Source organism: Homo sapiens, chromosome 6, assembly GCF_000001405.40.
Source record: "Homo sapiens chromosome 6, GRCh38.p14 Primary Assembly".
In the NCBI taxonomy this organism is placed as follows: Eukaryota; Metazoa; Chordata; class Mammalia; order Primates; family Hominidae; genus Homo; species Homo sapiens.
The window spans coordinates 45,057,491-45,079,323 of record NC_000006.12 but is presented as its reverse complement, the minus strand read 5'-3'; the positions used below and the strand labels follow the sequence as shown (position 1 = coordinate 45,079,323).

The 21,833-nt window shown below is 37.0% G+C and overlaps 1 protein-coding gene across 29 annotated transcripts in view, besides 3 other annotated features; it reads left to right on the top strand.

The window, feature by feature from the left end:
- Nucleotides 1-21,833, top strand: part of SUPT3H (SPT3 homolog, SAGA and STAGA complex component) — a 568,878-nt gene that overhangs the window by 298,611 nt on the left and 248,434 nt on the right. The window lies entirely within an intron of this gene.
- Nucleotides 4,525-4,725: a silencer, noted in NCBI's record as "peak5820 fragment used in MPRA reporter construct". NCBI's record gives its function as "represses an SCP1 promoter by STARR-seq MPRAs in K562 erythroleukemia cells {active_cell/tissue: K562}" and the evidence as "EXISTENCE:reporter gene assay evidence [ECO:0000049][PMID:32103011]".
- Nucleotides 15,896-16,556: an enhancer, noted in NCBI's record as "NANOG-H3K27ac-H3K4me1 hESC enhancer chr6:45030505-45031165 (GRCh37/hg19 assembly coordinates)". NCBI's record gives its function as "activates a minimal SCP1, AML or CMV promoter by ChIP-STARR-seq in naive H9 embryonic stem cells {active_cell/tissue: H9 hESC(naive)}" and the evidence as "EXISTENCE:reporter gene assay evidence [ECO:0000049][PMID:30033119]".
- Nucleotides 16,557-17,217: an enhancer, noted in NCBI's record as "NANOG-H3K27ac-H3K4me1 hESC enhancer chr6:45029844-45030504 (GRCh37/hg19 assembly coordinates)". NCBI's record gives its function as "activates a minimal SCP1, AML or CMV promoter by ChIP-STARR-seq in naive H9 embryonic stem cells {active_cell/tissue: H9 hESC(naive)}" and the evidence as "EXISTENCE:reporter gene assay evidence [ECO:0000049][PMID:30033119]".

Genomic DNA, 21,833 nt, shown 5'->3' with positions numbered 1-21,833 from the left:
GCTATTCTGGGCCTTTTGTGGAGTCTCACTCTGGCGCCCAGGCTGGAGTGCGGTAGTGTGATCTCAGCTCACTGCAACCTCTGCCTCCCAGGTTCAAGCGATTCTCCTGCCTCAGCCTCCCAAGTAGCTGGGACTACAGGCCTGTGCTGCCACGCCTGGCTAATTTTTTGTATTTTGTTGTAGAGACGGGGTTTCACTATATTAGCCAGATGGTCTCGATCTCCTTACCTAGTGATCCACCAGCCTCGGCCTCCCAAAGTGCTGGGATTATAGGCATGAGCCACCGCGCCCAGCAATATATGTAACAAAATAATAGCTGAAAACTTCCCAAGTATGGGGAGAGATGTGGACATTGAGATCAAGAAAGCACAAATGTCCCATGTTAGATTCAAGTGAAAAAGATTCTCTGGAGCACATTATAATTAAACTGTCAAAAGTCAAAGACAGAGAATTCTAAAAGCTGCAAAAGAAAAACACTGAGTCACATATAAGGGAATTTCCATTAGACTATCCGTATATTTACCAACATAAACTTTGTAGGCCAGAAGAGAATGAGGTGTTGTATTCAAAGTGCTGAAAGGAAAGGAAAGGAAGGAAAACAAACAAACAAACAAATAAAAAAACCTGTCAGCCAAGTATACTGTATCCAACAAAGCTCTCCTTTCGAAATGAAAGAGAAAAAGAGACCTTCCCAGAGGAGCAAAAGCTGAGGGAATTTATCACCACTTGACCAGACTTACAAGAAATTCTTAAAGGAATGCTACAACAGGAAATAAAAAGGTGAGAATCATTGTAATGAAAACATGTGAAAGTATAAAACTCACCAATAGAGCTAAATTTATAATAAAACTAAGAACACCCCAATGCTGTAACGATACTGTGTAAATCTTTCAGTCAACTAATATGAAGGTTTAAGGTCAAAATGGTCAAAAACAACAACTGCAATGTTGGCTAAGGAACACATAATAAATAAAAATGTAAATTAAGGCCACAGAAATATAAATTGTGTGGCAGAGTGGAAAAGTCGAGAGTATTTTTATGTGACCAACATTTAATTAATTACAGCAGATATACAAACAAAAAAGAGAACAAAACCAAAGCAGTAAACAGTAGAGCATGAAAGGAAGAAAGGAGGTATAAAATGACCGGAGGACTGGACATGGTGGCTCACACCTGTAATCCCAGCACTTTGGGAGGCCAAGGCGGGCAGATCACTTGAAGTCAGGAGTTCAAGACCAGTCTGGCCAACATGGCGAAACTCTGTCTCTACTGAAAATACTGAAATTAGCCAGGTGTACTGACAGTCCTGTCTTTCTTATGTTTTAGATTGTGTGTTCCCCCACCCCCCCAACCAGTCCTTCTATCCATCTGATTTTGTTTAATTTCTGTTTTTAGCAATTCCTCAGTTTTGGCTCACTAATACCATTCTTTATTTTCCAAAATTGTTTTTGAAGCTTTTCTTTTTTCCTCCAAAATACACCTTTTTAAAACTTCTTGAAATTTTAGGCAAAACAAAAAGTTGAGGTGTGGGCTATTTGTCATTTTGATCTATCTTTCTTTACTTTTGTGTTTATTGAGTTTTTCTACTGATAATGTGACACTATAAGTAGAAATGCACTTGGCCTTGCAGAAATACAGATTTTTATTGATTTGTTTCATGAACACTTTTTTTTTTCTTTTCTTTTTTTTTTTTTTTTGAAACAAGGTCTCACTCTGTCACCTAGGCTGGAGTGCAGTGGCACGATTATGGCTCACTGCAGCTTCAATCTCCTGGGCTCAAGTGATCCTCCCACCACAGCCTCCTGAATAGCTGGGACTATAGGCACAGGCCACCACACCTGGCTAGTTTTTAAAGTTTTTGTAGAGACAGGGTTTCACTATGTTGCCCAGGCTGGTTTCAAACTCCTGGACTTAAGCGATCCTCCCACTTCAACCTGCCAAAGTGCTGGGATTATAGGCATGAGCCACCATGCCCAGCCTATGAACATTTCTTAAACACCTATCATAAGCAAAATCCTATGGTTGGTACTATGGACAAGGCCTTCTATCTCAATAGAGAGGATATAGTTTGTATGGTATATGGTCTGTTCAGGAATGAATATACTACTAATGAAGATGTAATGTTTTATAAAGTGTCACAGTGGTTCAAAAAGGGAGAAATTACTTCTTCCTTAAAAGAATGAGGGAAAGCTTCGTGGGGGAAATCATTTTTATGCTGGTATTGGAAGTGGTGGTATCTGACCACATAGAGATTAGAAAGAGAGTTGAGACAGTGGGAAGTACAGGTAGGAGAACAAGTCAAGAAAAGTGAATAGAACATTTTGAGGGGAACATAGCATGCATGAAAAGGAACAAAGGGAGATTAAAAAACTACCAAACCATATTCGGTAGAAATTTAGAGCCATTTAAAGTTTTGAGCCTAGTTTCAGCTGGTGTTTTTAGCTGATAACCCAGTATTGTGCATGGAATAATTTGAGGCAAGGAGGCCATTTCTAGGGGGCCCTGCTAGGAAACTGGGCATCTAGACTGCCAGGGCTTGACAATAGGTTGGATTTTCTTTCAAGCAGATTGTAAGAAATCATTAGTGTTACTCAGTAGGCTGCAACTTAATCATTTTGACAGCCAAAGGGGGCTAATGATTAAAGGCGTCAATTTAATTATTTAAAACATTTGACCATATATGCAGAATATAACCTTGTATCACTATTTTACAAGTACAAAAGCATTTTTGAGTGTGAGTCTGACTTCATTGACTAAAGTTTGGAAGAGCCTGTTTGTATCAGAGAATACATCAGAGTCTCTGCCCTAGTTTTTTTTTTTTCTTCTTGTAGTATATTCTTTATGATAATCAGACACGTAACAGGAAGAACATCTCCATCTGGTAATCATTACCTGTAGGATGTAGAGCTTGTATGTGTCTTCTGGAAGTTAACTTTTAATGTTAAACAAAGGAAGCTGATCAAAACCAGCTGTAAAACCTTTGCATAGTTCATATTTTATACAGTCAGCATTACATTACCATTCACATGACTGTATGTCTGAAGTTTTCTAAAAAAGTAAATCTTTCATTAAAATTATTGTAATCCTGATTTTATAGTTAACACAACTTAAATGTTTCCCTGTTTGGCAGGAACATTTAACGCAATTGACATCACTGTGTGTATGGTTATACACCTTGGAGAAATAATGGCTCATTTATTAAACATATATGCCACTATTAATATATTTGGGATGCAGTCAAAATAAAAGCAGTAGGTAGGTCAAAATATAATTTTCTAATTTAAAATTATGAGGTTAATAAATGTAGAAACTTGCCAGCTAAACATGTAACAGGCCATTAAATATATTATATGAACTAATTATATAGATACTGAAAATTATTCTAGTAATACCCCCTTTGACACATGGCATTTATTATAATCCTAGGTACACACAAGCATAGTAATTTTAGATCATTATTATTTATGAAAAGAAATGGCTCAGAATTATAAATCAGGAAGAAGACTTCTTTTTTTTTCCCTTAATTGAATTTAGAACTACTGTGGAACTTGGAAGAATTAAAAATTCATCCTGGGCAGTGCTTTGCATTCTGCAGGTATATCGTGTATGTTAAATAATAATAGTTTCTTCTGCCTGGAACTTGCAGTCGTTATATAAATAGCAATTTTGAAATCACAAAGCACATGAATTTCTAACAACACATACTTGTGAAAGATCTGTAACAACAGTATTGAGGATTTGCTATCATGAGATGGAATTTCATGACGAGAAAATTTACCAGATAATGTAATGACTCAGGCAGAACAATTTAAGCAGAAGACAGTAAGCATTTCTCTCCGAAGGAAATATTTTGTTATTCAGTGGTTGTTTTGTAGATGATTAATACTGTTGTGTTGGAAATGTTCTAGTCTGGAGAAACCTAAGTATTGCTCACAAATACCATGTAGTCAGAGAAGCCAAGGACATTTCTGGTGATTCAATATAGTGTAACATCAAGTATGACCATATCTGGTATTAGGGCCACTGTTGTAAAGGTGCTTTTCTCAGGCCTTGGTTAACTGTTTAGGAAGGTATTTAAAAATGTACAAGCACATAAGTGGAAAGTAACTGATGGCAAACGAATAATTTTCAAAATACTATAATTATAGTTTTCATTTCTGCTAATAGTGGCATATTCCTGTTTTAAAAGATATGGAATATATTAATTGTATGCCGAAAAGGCACTGAACCATGTTAGTCTCTGAGAATTGACAAGCTATCATTCCTTAGGAGAGAGATTTAAAGAATGGTCTACTTCAGTCACAGTATTTGTGTTAGAACGCTTAAGTAAATTTAAGACATTCATTTTTAACACAAAAATAAATAATTTGTAGCACGAAGCACATAGCAGAAACTCAGTATATGTATGTTTATTAAATTATTGTACCAAGACTTAATTATATTAACACCTTTCTTAAACTGTATCTATGTGTGTATGTATAATATCTGTAAATACACATATTTGTATACATAAGATTAACAGAAAAAGTGCAGATTGTAAGTGCTTAACTCAGGGAGTTTTGACAGTTCTGCACTCCCATGTAACCAGCACCCCAAAAGCAAGGAATAGTATTTCCTGTACTTTAGAAAGTTCTCCTTTCCAGTCACAACTTTCTTACTTCCTCCAGTGGTTTCTATTACCATAGTTTAGCGTGTCTGTTCTTGGATGTCATGTAAGTGCAATTACATAGAGTGTGCCCTTTTGTGTCTAGCTTTCCTTGGTTTTGTTAGTCTTTTTTATTTTATGTATTCTAGTGGGTGTGCAGTATTATTTTATTGTGATTTTCATTTCTGTTTCCTTAAAGATGAATGATATTGAGCACCTTTCACTTGGCTTATTGCCTTTCATATATCTCACTTTGTGGTGTGTCTATTCAAACTTTTTGTTCCTTTTTATTGGGTTATTAATACTTTCTATGTTTTGTCCAAGAAATCTTTGCATACCCAAAGGTCAAGAAGACTTTCTGTTAGGTTTCTTAATGTTTATATGGTATCTATTATCTTTATAGTTATATGGTACCTATTATCTTTATGGTTATAGTTTTTATGCTTAATTTTGTGGTCCATATTTAATTATTTTTTAGGTATTGAGTTAGATAGATAGTGGAGCTTTTTTGTTTTCCATTTAGCTGTTTCAGTAACATTTGTTACCTGTGTTTCAGCAACATTTTTGGACATAAATAAAGGACTGTGTGACTAAAATTACATATAGAGTTAACATTTTTATTCTCTTTCCTCCTTTAATTTAATTGCTTTTCTGTTTAGGTGCTTTTCTGAACCCTTGCAGGTTTAACCACTAGTGAATCACTAAGCTGTGTCTTTCATAACATTTCAACAAATTGATGTCAGCACTCATTGCAGTTTTCTGTTCTCTTCCATAGAAATACTCAAGAATCAATTAATTCTGTCAATAAGAAGTGATCTGTAGAATTTGTATCTAACTTCTATCCTGTATCCCTCCTCCTATTCTCACCTTATATAGCTCCTTTTTCTTGCCCTTTTCATAGCTGATAGTAAAGAAACGAACTTCAGTACCTCACAAAACAAGTCAAAAGATCTTAAGTATTTTCTGAAACTATTTAGCTGTGGTTTGAGAACATGATGCCCCTAACATGTTAAGGTATTTGGTATAGTAGTATAAATCAAGGTATTAGATATAGTAGCATAAATTAGTGACTATTCTATATAAAATTTCCTAGTCATCTGTGTTCATTTTGGGATGCATCCCATCAAAGGAGATGGCTTTGTGGTTTTTTACATTAAATATATTTTATCAGTTCGCCATAAACTGACATAAATTGGAAGATCCATTTTTGGATTTGAGTTTTGAATTATTTGTGATTTTTATCTTTATTAAGCTTTTTTTTGTATTTTCTGAGCTTTCCATGATAAACATTTATTGCTTTTATAACAAATCCATGGGTAGATTGTATTCTCTAAACTTTTGGTAGTCTAATTAATTAACAAGGTATATGTAGATACTAGGGCACTTTGATTAATGAATTCTCAAGCTGATATAAATAGAAGACAGAATTGAGCTTCTAGAATGCTTTCAGTTGGTAGGTTTCATTATATTGTTTGAGTTATATAGACACATATGTTTGAATGACACTGCTCATGGAATACCTACATATCTTCAGCGTAGATAATGAAGACTATCTGTCAAAGTATCAACCAAAATCTTGTCTGTGAGTATAGATAAGAGATGAGAAATAGACTTTAACGGAGAAAGTCATTTCTTTCAAATTCATATTTAGGCAAATAAACATCAGAAAACATCAAGAAATCTTAGAAATGACAGAACAATAAATGATACTATTGTTTCGTGGCTTCTAAGATGTACTTTTTTTTTAAACTTTTTAACTTTCTGATGTTTGGATTTGTGGTGACACAGCTGTTATTTCCTGAGTTCTGGTAAGATAGAGAGAGGGCCAGTATCCAAGTTTGAAGAAGGTGTCAGTGCCTCAGATTAAAACCCAGGAGCTTTTAATCCTAGATTGGGCAGCCTTGGTAACACAAAGAAAGATGGGTACCAATTACTCTGCATCAAAAAGAGATTCAGAAGAGTCAGACTCTGAATGTGAAAACATTTTACGAATACTTTAACCAATTTTTTTTGCTGCTGTTTTCCTCCTTTTTATGCTGAAGTGAAACAATAATGCCCAAGTATGATCTATAATGATAATCTATGCCTTGAATCTAAAAGAACTTTAAAAATGAGAATAAAATAAAAATTCTAAGTCAATGCTTCTTAGACTATCTGAAGCCAAGGTCTAGTTTTTTGTTTTCTACCTTCACCACTTTTATAAAATATATTTGAAATTTTCACTGCAATATTAAAATGTTACAAAAGTTTCTAAACACTCTTATTTTCTGACCTTGTAGACTGATAACAGTTTATGGTCTGGCACTGGTCAGGGTCCACATTTTGAGTGGCACTGAAAAGAAAACATTTTATCAGTTTAATTTTCATTGTGTCTTTTTTTTCTTAACCCACCAAAATAATGGTGATCTTACACTTGGTGGTGTTAGAGGTTTGATGAAATAGTTGGTGTATATTGCCTAATTTCTTTAAAAGCATTGTTTTAGGAGTCTGACTGCCTAGTTAACTTTGGAGGAAGTCCCATATCATTTCTAAGCCTGAGCCTTTTGATTGTAAAGTGGGGATAATATTAGTTCTGACTTCATAGCATTGTTGTAATCATTAAATAAGAAAATTTGTGGAAATCACTTGACTGGACGTAGTAGGAATGTCATATATATTAAAGCATATTGTCATACTCACCCAGACTTTTCCTCATAGGAACTCAATGACAGGGCACTGTAGAGAGATTATTAGCATGCCAGGAGATTACCCCTCCTCAAAGAGCTGGCTCTCAAGGACCTTTGAATTCAGGTATAATCCAGGGAATACCAACAGCCTTGCATTTCTTTGGTAGGTCTGGGCATCAGAGATCTGTATCACATTGAAGGATGTATGTCTGAATGAGCTGAAACAGGTCTTTAGTAAGCAATTGATAGAAAGTCATGATCTCCCTTCTCAGAGAGAGGAATCTAGTAAAGACTTAAGATGGCTTGTCAGGGCTCATTTTGGACAGATCAATGTTCTCAGTAGGACTCTAGTCCCAAAAGAAAACTGGAGTGCACCCTAATAACTGGGACAGATCCCCAGTCACAGTATACATGGCTCAGGGTTCTGGGAAAGCTGTTTCTTGGGTGACATGTGAACATATAATATCTTACCTGTCCTCTGCATTGGGTATCAGGCTAAGACAACTGATTCTCTTTTACCCTTTTCTGGCTGCTGACTCTTTCTCCTTGACTCCAAGCATAATAAGGACTCAGATTGCAGATCAGTGATCTTTAATGGATATCATGGGGCAAAAAAAGACAGGAAAATAATAAAGAGTTTACTGGGTTTGGTTAGGTAGTTTCCTCATGTGTAACTTTTGCAATTTTTTTCAATGTTTCTAACAATTTTAAAATATAATTTAGATTTTCTTGATGTGGGTCTGGGGAATCCTTGGTTTACTGACCTATGGGATTAATAAAAATTTAGGTTTCCCAGGTGTCTGTTAACCATGCTTTCATTGTTCATATATCCCAATTAACTTGAAACTCTTGCCAAATAGGAACCTGCCTGAAATGAAGATACATATTTCTATTACTATGTCCATTTTTCTTCATTTTACATTCTCCAAAAAAGGTAAACAGAGACAAAATATGGGAAACATCTTTTTTCTGTATTGGTTTGATTACTTTTTATCATATTTATTTTAATAGTATAGCAAACATACTGATTAATTAGGAATAAATGGCAAGAAAAGACTTACAAAGAATAGGGAATTTGTTTTGCGGCTCGGATGTTTGTTGCTTATACATCTGCTTTGTTTCCTGTGAACTTAATGGTGATTTTAAATTTAGTAATATAAACTCTCTGCTATACACTGGTAGTAACACTTCTTCCTTGTCGTCACTCCAGTTTGTAAAAAGAAATTGCTTTCATTTTGAGATTAAAGCATTTCTTTTTTTTTTTTTTTTTTTTGTTTGAGACAGAGTTTTGCTCTTATTACCCAGGCTGGAGTGCAGTGGTGCAATCTCAGCTCACTGCAACCTCCACCTCCCAGGTTCAAGTGATTCTCCTGCCTCAGGAGTAGCTGGGATTACAGGCGCGTGCTGCCATGCCCGGCCAATTTTTTGTATTTTTAGTAGAGACGGGGTTTCACCATGTTGGGCAGGCTGGTCTCGAACTCCTGACCTTAGGTGATCCGTCTGCCTCTGCCAAAGTGCTGGGATTACAGGCGTGAGCCACCATGCCCGGCCAAAGCATTTCATTTTACCAGCTGTTGTCCATGCATGTGACCTTATCAACAACAAAAGTATATACTTCTGAATACCAAATAAGATTAGGTTGGATCCTGGGGTTTCCAAATTGGCTTTGGGTGGTCTTGAAAGATCAGAAATCTTCTGTTGATCTGAAAACTCTATATAATTCTCATAAATTTCAATGTGTTATAACTTCAATCAATATAGTGAATATTTTTTCGATAAAATGGGTTTATTGGATAACAATGGTCCTTTTCCCCTTAAGTTTCCAGATTATGCGAAGTCAATCTGGAAAATCCAATGATATATCATTGGATTCATAGCCTATGAAAACATGCAGATTTTCTTCTATGCTTTAGGTAACTTCAAAGCAGACTCTGATAGAAGTCCTCCTTGGGAATGACCATGATATATTCATACCTGGCATTGATCTGATGGCTCTGCCAAATGTGCCCACTTTGTTGCACACCTTTGCTGAAGTGAGCAGAGATGTTTTCCTCTTCTGGCAGTTAGAAATGCTGCTACCCGCAGCTGTTGGCAGGCTCCTCTCTAGGCATATTTATATCAGTGGAAGGGAGCTAATGTATTTTTTTTTTCCTTTGTGTCATGGAAGTTATCTGAGACCTGCAGAAAATTAAATATTACCATTCAAATACTTTTGAAAAAATAAAACCAATTCGGTGACTACTTTTAAAAATAAATAAATAAGAGTTCTCTGCAAAATATAATTTTGTTGAGTTAATCTATGGATTTTTTGGTGGTTTCCTCGCCCTCATATATTTCAGATTATTTTTAGTATAATGCTTAAGCAGTTAATCTTTTAAAACTCTTCACAGGAACTTTCTAGGAAATAGGAAGGTGACTATGAGTGTACTGTTTTCTTCCATTAGTTTACATATACTTATACGGATCATACTTACATTTTTTCCCTCAAAACACTTTTTAAACCAAGCCAAATATGCCATGCCAATTTATAGGGGCCTATAAATCTAAGTAATATTAGGACCACAGATCCATCCTTTTTCCTTACTCTCTTCTTACAACTATAAAATTAGACCAGGTGATGATATCCAGATTTCAGTGTTAGTCCCTCTTGTGTCCTCCCTGTCTAACACATACTGTTCAACCTAAACACGTTTTTTGTCATGTCGCTCTTCCCTGCTCAGAGTCCTAGAATGTTGTTTAACACGTTCTGCATGAAGTTTTTGGTTCCTCTAATACAATTGGTTTATACTGTTATTGTGGTATTTACAATCTGTTATCTTCTTTTACTACCTTTATAATTTTCTTGGTTACAAGGCCACAGATAATCCCTCTTTATCCTTCACCTTCTAATTCAGTATTTTACATTCACATGTTCAATACAGTACTTATTGATTCTCTATTGTGCTCTAAGCATTGTAAAGTACACTAGGAATCACAGGTGGAAGCTATACAGTGTACTCTTTATTTTATTTTATTTTTTTTATTTTTTTTTTTTTGCAAAGTAAAACTCCACAAGCAAGCATTTTGTTTTTTAATAGAATGTTTAAGGGGGTTTTATAATCAAGGGATAAGTAGTGACATCAATGGAACGAACATTCTACTGATTAGTAATTCATACTGTGTTCACATGATCTTGAAAGCCCAGGTTAAGCTGGTTAAAGTGTGGCAACATGTTACAATTGGGAGACTGAGACTGAAGAGGCAAAATGAGTGTGAAGTCCACACACTATGAGGAGCCAAGCACACTAGCTACATGATCTACACAGTGACAGTAACAAAGTTGATGTTTGACAGCAATTCACTAAGCCTGGGCTCAGAGGGAAAAAATATATACATTGATTCTAAACTAGTCAGTATCTTATGATTGCCAAAAATAAAGTGGAATAAAACAAATCATGTTATGTTTTCAATCAACTTGCTATTAGTACCGATTTCAGAAATGAAATTTATTTTAGGAGATTACCCCTATCCTTATCTCTACCCATCCCTATCTTTTTTTTTTATTTTTTTATTATACTTTAAGTTTTAGGGTACATGTGCACATTGTGCAGGTTAGTTACATATGTATACATGTGCCATGCTGGTGTGCTGCACCCACTAACTCGTCATCTAGCATTAGGTATATCTCCCAATGCTATCCCTCCCCCCTCCCCCCACCCCACCACAGTCCCCAGAGTGTGATATTCCCCTTCCTGTGTCCATGTGATCTCATTGTTCAATTCCCACCTATGAGTGAGAATATGCCGTGTTTGGTTTTTTGTTCTTGTGATAGTTTACTGAGAATGATGATTTCCAATTTCATCCATGTCCCTACAAAGGACACGAACTCATCATTTTTTATGGCTGCATAGTATTCCATGGTATATATGTGCCACATTTTCTTAATCCAGTCTATCATTGTTGGACATTTGGGTTGGTTCCAAGTCTTTGCTATTGTGAATAATGCCGCAATAAACATACGTGTGCATGTGTCTTTATAGCAGCATGATTTATAGTCCTTTGGGTATATACCCAGTAATGGGATGGCTGGGTCAAATGGTATTTCTAGTTCTAGATCCCTGAGGAATCGCCACACTGACTTCCACAATGGTTGAATTAGTTTACAGTCCCACCAACAGTGTAAAAGTGTTCCTATTTCTCCACATCCTCTCCAGCACCTGTTGTTTCCTGACTTTTTAATGATTGCCATTCTAACTGGTGTGAGATGGTATCTCATAGTGGTTTTGATTTGCATTTCTCTGATGGCCAGTGATGATGAGCATTTTTTCATGTGTTTCTTGGCTGCATAAATGTCTTCTTTTGAGAAGTGTCTGTTCATGTCCTTCGCCCACTTTTTGATGGGGTTGTTTTTTTTTTCTTGTAAATTTGTTTGAGTTCATTGTAGATTCTGAATATTAGCCCTTTGTCAGATGAGTAGGTTGTGAAAATTTTCTCCCATTTTGTTGGTTGCCTGTTCACTCTGATGGTAGTTTCTTTTGCTGTGCAGAAGCTCTTTAGTTTAATTAGATCCCAGTTGTCAATTTTGGCTTTTGTTGCCTTTGCTTTTGGTGTTTTGGAAATGAAGTCCTTGCCCATGCCTATGTCCTGAAGGGTAATGCCTAGGTTTTCTTCTAGGGTTTTTATGGTTTTAGGTCTAACGTTTAAATCTTTAATCCATCTTGAATTGATTTTTGTATAAGGTGTAAGGAAGGGATCCAGTTTCAGCTTTCTACATATGGCTAGCCAGTTTTCCCAACACCATTTATTAAATAGGGAATCCTTTCCCCATTGCTTGTTTTTCTCAGGTTTGTCAAAGATCAGATAGTTGTAGATATGCGGCGTTATTTCTGAGGGCTCTGTTCTGTTCCATTGATCTATATCTCTGTTTTGGTACCAGTACCATGCTGTTTTGGTTACTGTAGCCTTATAGTATAGTTTGAAGTCAGGTAGTGTGATGCCTCCAGCTTTGTTCTTTTGGCTTAGGATTGACTTGGCGATGCGGGCTCTTTTTTGGTTCCATATGAACTTTAAAGTAGTTTTTTCCAATTCTGTGAGGAAAGTCATTGGTAGCTTTATGGGGATGGCATTGAATCTGTAAATTACCTTGGGCAGTATGGCCATTTTCACGATATTGATTCTTCCTACCCATGAGCATGGAATGTTCTTCCATTTGTTTGTATCCTCTTTTATTTCCTTGAGCAGTGGTTTGTAGTTCTCCTTGAAGAGGTCCTTCACATCCCTTGTAAGTTGGATTCCTAGGTATTTTATTCTCTTTGAAGCAATTGTGAATGGGTGTTCACTCATGATTTGGCTCTCTGTTTGTCTGTTGTTGGTGTATAAGAATGCTTGTGATTTTTGTACATTGATTTTGTATCCTGAGACTTTGCTGAAGTTGCTTATCAGCTTAAGGAGATTTTGGGCTGAGACAGTGGGGTTTTCTAGATATACAATCATGTCATCTGCAAACAGGGACAATTTGACTTCCTCTTTTCCTAATTGAATACCCTTTATTTCCTTCTACTGCCTAATTGCCCTGGCCAGAACTTCCAACACTATGTTGAATAGGAGTGGTGAGAGAGGGCATCCCTGTCTTGTGCCATTTTTCAAAGGGAATGCTTCCAGTTTTTGCCCATTCAGTATGATATTGGCTGTGGGTTTGTCATAGATAGCTCTTATTATTTTGAAATACGTCCCATCAATACCTAATTTATTGAGAGTTTTTAGCATGAAGGAGTTGTTGAATTTTGTCAAAGGCTTTTTCTGCACCTATTGAGATAATCATGTGGTTTTTGTCTTTGGCTCTGTTTATATGCTGGATTACATTTATTGATTTGCGTATATTGAACCAGCCTTGCATCCCAGGGATGAAGCCCACTTGATCATGGTGGATAAGCTTTTTGATGTGCTGCTGGATTCGTTTTGCCAGTATTTTATTGAGGATTTTTGCATCAATGTTCATCAAGGATATTGGTCTAAAATTCTCTTTTTTGGTTGTGTCTCTGCCCGGCTTTGGTATCAGAATGATGCTGGCCTCATAAAATGAGTGAGGGAGGATTCCCTCTTTTTCTATTGATTGGAATAGTTTCAGAAGGAATCGTACCAGTTCCTCCTTGTACCTCTGGTAGAATTCGGCTGTGAATCCATCTGGTCCTGGACTCTTTTTGGTTGGTAAACTATCGATTATTGCCATAATTTCAGCTCCTGTTATTGGTCTATTCAGAGATTCAACTTCTTCCTGGTTTAGTCTTGGGAGAGTGTATGTGTTGAGGAATTTATCCATTTCTTCTAGATTTTCTAGTTTATTTGCGTAGAGGTGTTTGTAGTATTATCTGATGGTAGTTTGTATTTCTGTGGGATCGGTGGTGATATCCCCTTTATCATTTTTTATTGTGTCTATTTGATTCTTGTCTCTTTTTTTCTTTATTAGTCTTGCTAGTGGTCTATCAATTTTGTTGATCCTTTCAAAAAACCAGCTCCTGGATTCATTGATTTTTGAAGGGTTTTTTGTGTCTCTATTTCCTTCAGTTCTGCTCTGATTTTAGTTATTTCTTGCCTTCTGCTAGCTTTTGAATGTGTTTGCTCTTGCTTTTCTAGTTCTTTTAATTGTGATGTTAGGGTGTCAATTTTGGATCTTTCCTGCTTTCTCTTGTGGGCATTTAGTGCTATAAATTTCCCTCTACACACTGCTTTGAATGCGTCCCAGAGATTCTGGTATGTTGTGTCTTTGTTCTCGTTGGTTTCAAAGAACATCTTTATTTCTGCCTTCATTTCGTTATGTACCCAGTAGTCATTCAGGAGCAGGTTGTTCAGTTTCCATATAGTTGAGCGGCTTTGAGTGAGATTCTTAATCCTGAATTCTAGTTTGATTGCACTGTGGTCTGAGAGATAGTTTGTTATAATTTCTGTTCTTTTACATTTGCTGAGGAGAGCTTTACTTCCCAGTATGTGGTCAATTTTGGAATAGGTGTGGTGTGGTGCTGAAAAAAATGTATATTCTGTTGTTTTGGGGTGGAGAGTTCTGTAGATGTCTATTAGGTCCACTTGGTGCAGAGCTGAGTTCAATTCCTGGGTATCCTTGTTGACTTTCTGTCTCGTTGATCTGTCTAATGTTGACAGTGGGGTGTTAAAGTCTCCCATTATTAATGTGTGGGAGTCTAAGTCTCTTTGTAGGTCACTCAGGACTTGCTTTATGAATCTGCGTGCTCCTGTATTGGGTGCATATATATTTAGGATAGTTAGCTCTTCTTGTTGAATTGATCCCTTTACCATTATGTAATGGCCTTCTTTGTCTCTTTTGATCTTTGTTGGTTTAAAGTCTGTTTTATCAGAGACTAGGATTGCAACCCCTGCCTTTTTTTGTTTTCCATTTGCTTGGTAGATCTTCCTCCATCCTTTTATTTTGAGCCTCTGTGTATCTCTGCACGTAAGATGGGTTTCCTGAATACAGCACACTGATGGGTCTTGACTCTTTATCCAATTTGCCAGTCTGTGTCTTTTAATTGGAGCATTTAGTCCATTTACATTTAAAGTTAATATTGTTATGTGTGAATTTGATCCTGTCATTATGATGTTAGCTGGTGATTTTGCTCATTAGTTGATGCAGTTTCTTCCTAGTCTCGATGGTCTTTACATTTTGGCATGATTTTGCAGCGGCTGGTACCAGTTGTTCCTTTCCATGTTTAGCGCTTCCTTCAGGAGCTCTTTTAGGGCAGGCCTAGTGGTGACAAAATCTCTCAGCATTTGCTTGTCTGTGAAGTATTTTATTTCTCCTTCACTTATGAAGCTTAGTTTGGCTGGATATGAAATTCTGGGTTGAAAATTCTTTTCTTTAAGAATGTTGAATATTGGCCCCCATTCTCTTCTGGCTTGTAGGGTTTCTGCCAAGAGATCCGCTGTTAGTCTGATGGGCTTCCCTTTGAGGGTAACCCGACCTTTCTCTCTGGCTGCCCTTAACATTTTTTCCTTCATTTCAACTTTGGTGAATCTGACAATTATGTGTCTTGGAGTTGCTCTTCTTGAGGAGTATCTTTGTGGCGTTCTCTGTATTTCCTGAATCTGAACGTTGGCCTGCCTTGCTAGATTGGGGAAGTTCTCCTGGATAATATCCTGCAGAGTGTTTTCCAACTTGGTTCCATTCTCCCTGTCACTTTCAGGTACACCAATCAGACGTAGATTTGGTCTTTTCACATAGTCCCATATTTCTTGGAGGCTTTGCTCATTTCTTTTTACTCTTTTTTCTCTAACCTTCCCTTCTCGCTTCATTTCATTCATTTCATCTTCCATTGCTGATACCCTTTCTTCCAGTTGATCACATCAGCTCCTGAGGCTTCTGCATTCTTCACGTAGTTCTCGAGCCTTGGTTTTCAGCTCCATCAGCTCCTTTAAGCACTTCTCTGTATTGGTTATTCTAGTTATACATTCTTCTAAATTTTTTTCAAAGTTTTCAACTTCTTTGCCTTTGGTTTGAATGTCCTCCCATAGCTCAGAGTAATTTGATCGTCTGAAGCCTTCTTCTCTCAGCTCGTCAAAGTCATTCTCCGTCCAGCTTTGTTCCGTTGCTGGTGAGGAGCTGCGTTCCTTTGGAGGAGGAGAGACGCTCTGCATTTTAGAGTTTCCAGTTTCTGTTCTGTTTTTTCCCCATCTTTGTGGTTTTATGTACTTTTGGTCTTTGATGATGGTGATGTACAGATGGGTTTTCGGTGTGGATGTCCTTTCTGTTTGTTAGTTTTCCTTCTAACAGACAGGACCCTCAGCTGCAGGTCTGTTGGAATACCCTGCCGTGTGAGGTGTCAGTGTGCCCCTGCTGGGGGGTGCCTCCCAGTTAGGCTGCTCGGGGGTCAGGGGTCAGGGACCCACTTGAGGAGGCAGTCTGCCCGTTCTCAGATCTCCAGCTGCGTGCTGGGAGAACCACTGCTCTCTTCAAAGCTGTCAGACAGGGACACTTAAGTCTGCAGAGGTTACTGCTGTCTTTTTGTTTGTCTGTGCCCTGCCCCCAGAGGTGGAGCCTACAGAGGCAGGCAGGTCTCCTTGAGCTGTGGTGGGCTCCACCCAGTTCGAGTTTCCTTTCTGCTTTGTTTACCTAAGCAAGCCTGGGCAATGGCAGGCGCCCCTCCCCCAGCCTCGCTGCCGCCTTGCAGTTTGATCTCAGACTGCTGTGCTAGCAATCAGGGAGACTCCGTGGGCGTAGGACCCTCCAAGCCAGGTGTGAGATATAATCTCATGGTTCGCCGCTTTTTAAGCCGGTGTGAAAAGCGCAATATTCGGGTGGGAGTGACCCGATTTTCCAGGTGCGTCCGTCACCCCTTTCTTTGACTCGGAAAGGGAACTTCCTGACCCCTCGCGCTTCCCAGGTGAGGCAATGCCTCGCCCTGCTTCGGCTTGCGCATGGTGCGCGCACCCACTGGCCTGCGCCCACTGTCTGGCACTCCCTAGTGAGATGCACCCGGTACCTCAGATGGAAATGCAGAAATCACCCGTCTTCTGCGTCGCTCACGCTGGGAGCTGTAGACCGGAGCTGTTCCTATTCGGCCATCTTGGCTCCTCACCCCTACAGTGTACTCTTTAGAAGGCTGATCCGCTTTGATGCTCCATTTAGTGTGTCTTGGCTGTAATATTTGTTAGTGTCTCAGAATTATAATTTTATGATATTTATAATGCTCTGGATTTATGCCTTGAAAACTAGAATTTAGTACAGTGTAGATTTATAATTTTTATTATTTCAACTTTTTCAAATGTTATTTGTGTTACTTTGTAAATTACTTTCTAAGATGAATGTAATAACTTTTCCCAACAGTATTACAACAACTTTATTATGGACTGAATTGAAATAATTCACCTAAAAGAGGCATCTGTATCCTTTGCCATATCAGACGCCAGTGTAAATACTAGATAAGGTGTATATTCATATAAAAATTTGTTTACTTTGTGTTTAAAAGTGAATTGATACTGGATAATGTCTAATATCAAGAAAATTTGGATATTAAATAACACTAATTTTAATAGTGTGTGTTTTAGTGTGTAAGTGTTCATATAACACATCACCCAATTTAATACCTTTCAATTAGAATTTGAGTCTTTGCCAAAAAAAAAAAAAAAAAAAAACAGCTTATGGATAAAAAACTGGCTGTACCACAATTGATTTTGGGGTGTAACTCTGAATTTACAGCTCAGAACAATGGTATCATTTTCAAAGATATCATGACTAGAATTATGTTATTCATAAGTATCACATAAAATATTAGTCTGATATTGATATATATAGTCATAATGGATTTTAGAACTATACACATATTGCAAAAGCTTATAATAAAGATTATCAATCTACATTGTAAGAAATTGTTTTTAAAAGCATAAACAATCCCTAATTTCTTTTTTTGTTTGTTTCTTCAACTTTTATTTTAAGTTCCGGTGTACATGTGCAGGACGTGCAGGTTTGTTACATAGGTAAACTTGTGCCATGGTGGTTTGCTGCACAGATCAACCCATCAGCTAGGTATTAAGCCCAGCATGCATTAGCTATTCTTCCTGATGCTCTCCCTCTCCCTGCCCCCTCTAAAAGGCCCCATGTGTTGTTCCCCACAGTGTTTCTACGTGTTCTCATCGTTTGGCTCCCACTTATAAATGAGAACATGCAGTTTTTGGTTAGCTCTTCCTACATTAGTTTGCTGAGGATAACGGCTTGCAGCTCCATCTATGTCCCTGCAAAGGACATGATCTTATTCCTTTTTATGGCAGCATAGTATTCCATGGTGTATATGTACCACATTTTCTTTATCCAGTGTATAATTGATGGGCATTTGGATTGATTCCATATCTTTGCTATTGTGAGTAGTGCTGCAGTGAACATAAACATGCATGTATCTTTATAATTGAATGATTTATATTCCTTTGAGTATATACCCAGTAATGGCATTGCTGGGTCAAATGGTGTTTCTGCTTCTTGATCTTTGAGGAATTGCCATGCTGTCTTCCACTATGGTCAAACTAATTTACATCCCCACCAACAGTGTTAAAGCGTTCCTATTTCTCCATAGCCTTGGCAGCATCTTGTTTCTTGACATTTTAATAATCACCATTCTGACTGGCATGAGATAGTATCTCATTGTGGTTTTGATTTACACTTCTCTAATGATCAGTGATGTTGATCCTTTTTTCATATGTTTGTTTGCCACAAGAATGTCTTCTTTTCAGAAGTGTCTGTTCACGTCCTTTGCCCACTTTTTAATGGGGTTGTGTATTTTTTTCTTGTAAATTTGTTCAAGTTCCTTGTAGACTCTGGATATTAGACCTTTATCTCATGGATAGATTGCAAAATTTTCTCCCATTCTGTAGGTTAGGTTGTCTGTTCACTCTGATGATAGTTTCCTTTGCAGTACAGAAGCTCTTTAGTTTAATTAGATCCCATTTGTCAATTTTGGCTTTTGTTGAAGCTGCTTTTGGTGGTTTTGTCATGAAATCTTTGCCCATGCCTGTGTCCAGAATGCTATTGCTTAGATTTTCATCTAGTATAGTTTTGGGTTTTACAGTTAAGTTTTTAATCCATCTTGAATTAATTTTTATATAAGGTGTAAGGGAAGGGTACAGTTTCAGTTTTCTGCATATGGCCAGCCAGTTCTCCCAGCACCATTTATTAAATAGGGAATCTTTTCCCCATTGCTTGTTTTTGTCAGTTTTGTCAAATATCAGATGGTTGTAGGGTGTGTGGTCTTATTTCTGAGATCTCTATTCTGTTCCATTAGTCTATGCATCTGTTTTTGTGCCAGTACCTTGCTGTTTTGGTTACTGTATCCTTGTAATATAGTTTGAAGTCAGGTAGCATGATGCCTTCAGCTTTGTTCTTTTTGCTTAGGATTGTCTTGGCTATACGGGCTCTTTTTTGGTTCCATATGAATTTTAAAATAGTTTTTTTTCTAATTCTGTAAAGAATGTCAATGGTAGTTTAATGGGAATAGCATTGAATTCATAAATTACTTTGGGTACTATGGCCATTTTCACGATATTGATTCTTCCTATCTATGAGCATGGAATGTTATTCCATTTGTTTATGTCCTCTGTAATTTCCTTGAGCAGTGGTTGATAGTTCTCCTCAAAGAGATCCTTCACTTCCCTTGTTAGCTATATTCCCAGGTATTTTATTCTTTTTGTGGCAATTGTGAATGGGTGTTCATTTATGATTTGGCTCTCTGCTTGCCTGTTGTTGTTGTATAGGAATACTAGTGATTTTTTCATTTTAAAATCAATATTTTATAACCTGAGAATTTGCTGAAGTTGCTTATCAGTTTAAGAAGCTTTTGAACTGAGACGATGGGCTTTTTTAGATGTAGGATTATGTCATCTGCAAACAAAGATAATTTGACTTCCTCTCTCCCTATTTGAATATGCTTTATTTCTTTCTCTTGCCTGATTGCCCTGACCATAACTTCCAATACAATGTTGAATAGGAGTGATTAGAGAGGGCATCCTTGTCTTGTGCTGGTTTTCTGGGGAATGCTTCCAGCTTTTGCCCATTCAGTATGATATTGGCTGTGGGTTTCTTATATATGGCTCTTATTATTTTGAGGTATATTCCTTCAATTCCTAGTTTATTGGGAGTTTTTAACATGAAAGGATGTTGAATTTTATCAAAGGCCTTTTCTGCATCTATTGAAATAATCATATGGTTTTTGTCTTTAGTTCTGTTTATGTGATGAATTACATTTATTGATTTGCATATGTTGAGCCAACCTTGCATCCCAAGGATGAAGCTGACTTGATCATGGTGGATAAGCTTTTTGATGTGCTTTTGGATTCGATTTGCCAGTACTTTATTGAGGATTTTTGCACCAATGTTCATCAGGGAACAATCCCTAATTTCTGAATAGAGTATATTCCAGTACTGTATACCAAAACTTGGTTCTATGCTATGTAGAAAATACTATGAAGGAAAGGAAAGCAAAGATTAGTAAGACTCAGATCTTATCCTCCTGATGCTTCCTATCTTACACCTATATTATAAATATAAGTGTCATAAAGAAAAAGGTACAAAGTGCTTAAATAGTCAACCAAGAGAGCGATCAGACCTACTTAAAGCATCAAAAACAGCTTTATAAAACACTTGCAATTCGGGTAGATCTTACTGGATGAATAAGATTTCACATGGAAAGATGGGTAAGTGGAGAGGGAAAACGTTCAAAGCCAAAAGGAGCAGATAGGTGTTCATATGAGCAACTTCATAGACTAGTAAATAATGCGTAGTGAGTTTGGCTAGAGCTAAAAATGATGGGGCAGGGGAAGGGATAATGAATCATAATGAACCTGGAAAGGGAGCTGAAGTTATACTGTAGTGCAGTGTTTCTCAACAATAGCTGAACGCTCCTTTTAGTAGGAAGGGTTGGAATCTTAAAACCAGTATGTAAGATTTCAAAGAGCCCCACAGGTACTTCTGATAAGGGCCTCGCCAGGGTGTATCCCCAAACTGAAAATCACTCTGTATAATATAACAGTATTTTATGCCAGACACTGTACTAAGTACTTTGCATCCATTATTTTAATCTTTACAGCAATTGTATGCATAGCATATTCCTTAGAATATAGAAGGTGTTCAGTATATATTTGTTGAATGTATAAATAAGAGTTTAAATAGTGAATATAAATTATAGTTATTAGTGTTTCTGTTTTCCAGATGAGGAAACTAAGGTACAAAACCTTGACTATAAGAAATCAATTGCTAAACTGCCAAAAATGTGCATAATTTCTAGGACTAAGAGTCTGGTGTGAGGGTTTGTTTTAGGTTTGGAGGCTCTGATCTCACATGGATTATTTTAGTTTCATCTTGCTTCATCTCTTGTCTTACTCTTTCCAATAATAAGGAGTTTAAAATGGAATCTGTTTTCTATCAAAATAATCCACTAATGCACATTAAAGTTAAAAAAATAAGCACCCCATAATTTTCTCACATTCGTGTGTCTAAAAAGATACTTTTAACTTAGATAACTAACTTATATCACTCTCTAATTGGCATTGTTTCATGTGTATAACTAAAATTGTCAACATTTTCACGTAGTAACCGTCACATTGATATGTTAGTTCTCTCTGGAACTGCCTTTGCTGTGTTTACTTAAGCAATTCTTTGTCCTAGATTTTTCTTTTTTCTTGTTTTTGATCCTACTGACTGAAGTGACATTTTCCCCCTCACACTGTGGCTTTCCCAGCAGTTTGTCTGCAGAAATGGCAGTCTTTCACAAATCCAGGTTTTCAAAGTAACTGCCTCTGTTCACAGACCCAATAATTAAACTTTATATTCCAGGCCCTGCAAAATATGTGGTTATCATTTGTCCAAGCATTCTTTGTTTTGTCTCAATGAGACACATGACTACTGAAAAACTATGAGTTACACTGAACAGCAAAATAAATACTGCCATCCTCTCAACTCTGAGTCCTCCTCAAGGTAGAAGCCTAAAGCTTAGTTTAGCATTTCACTTTGTCAGGCTCTATTAGGTTTTTTTTGTTTTGTTTTTTTGTTTTTT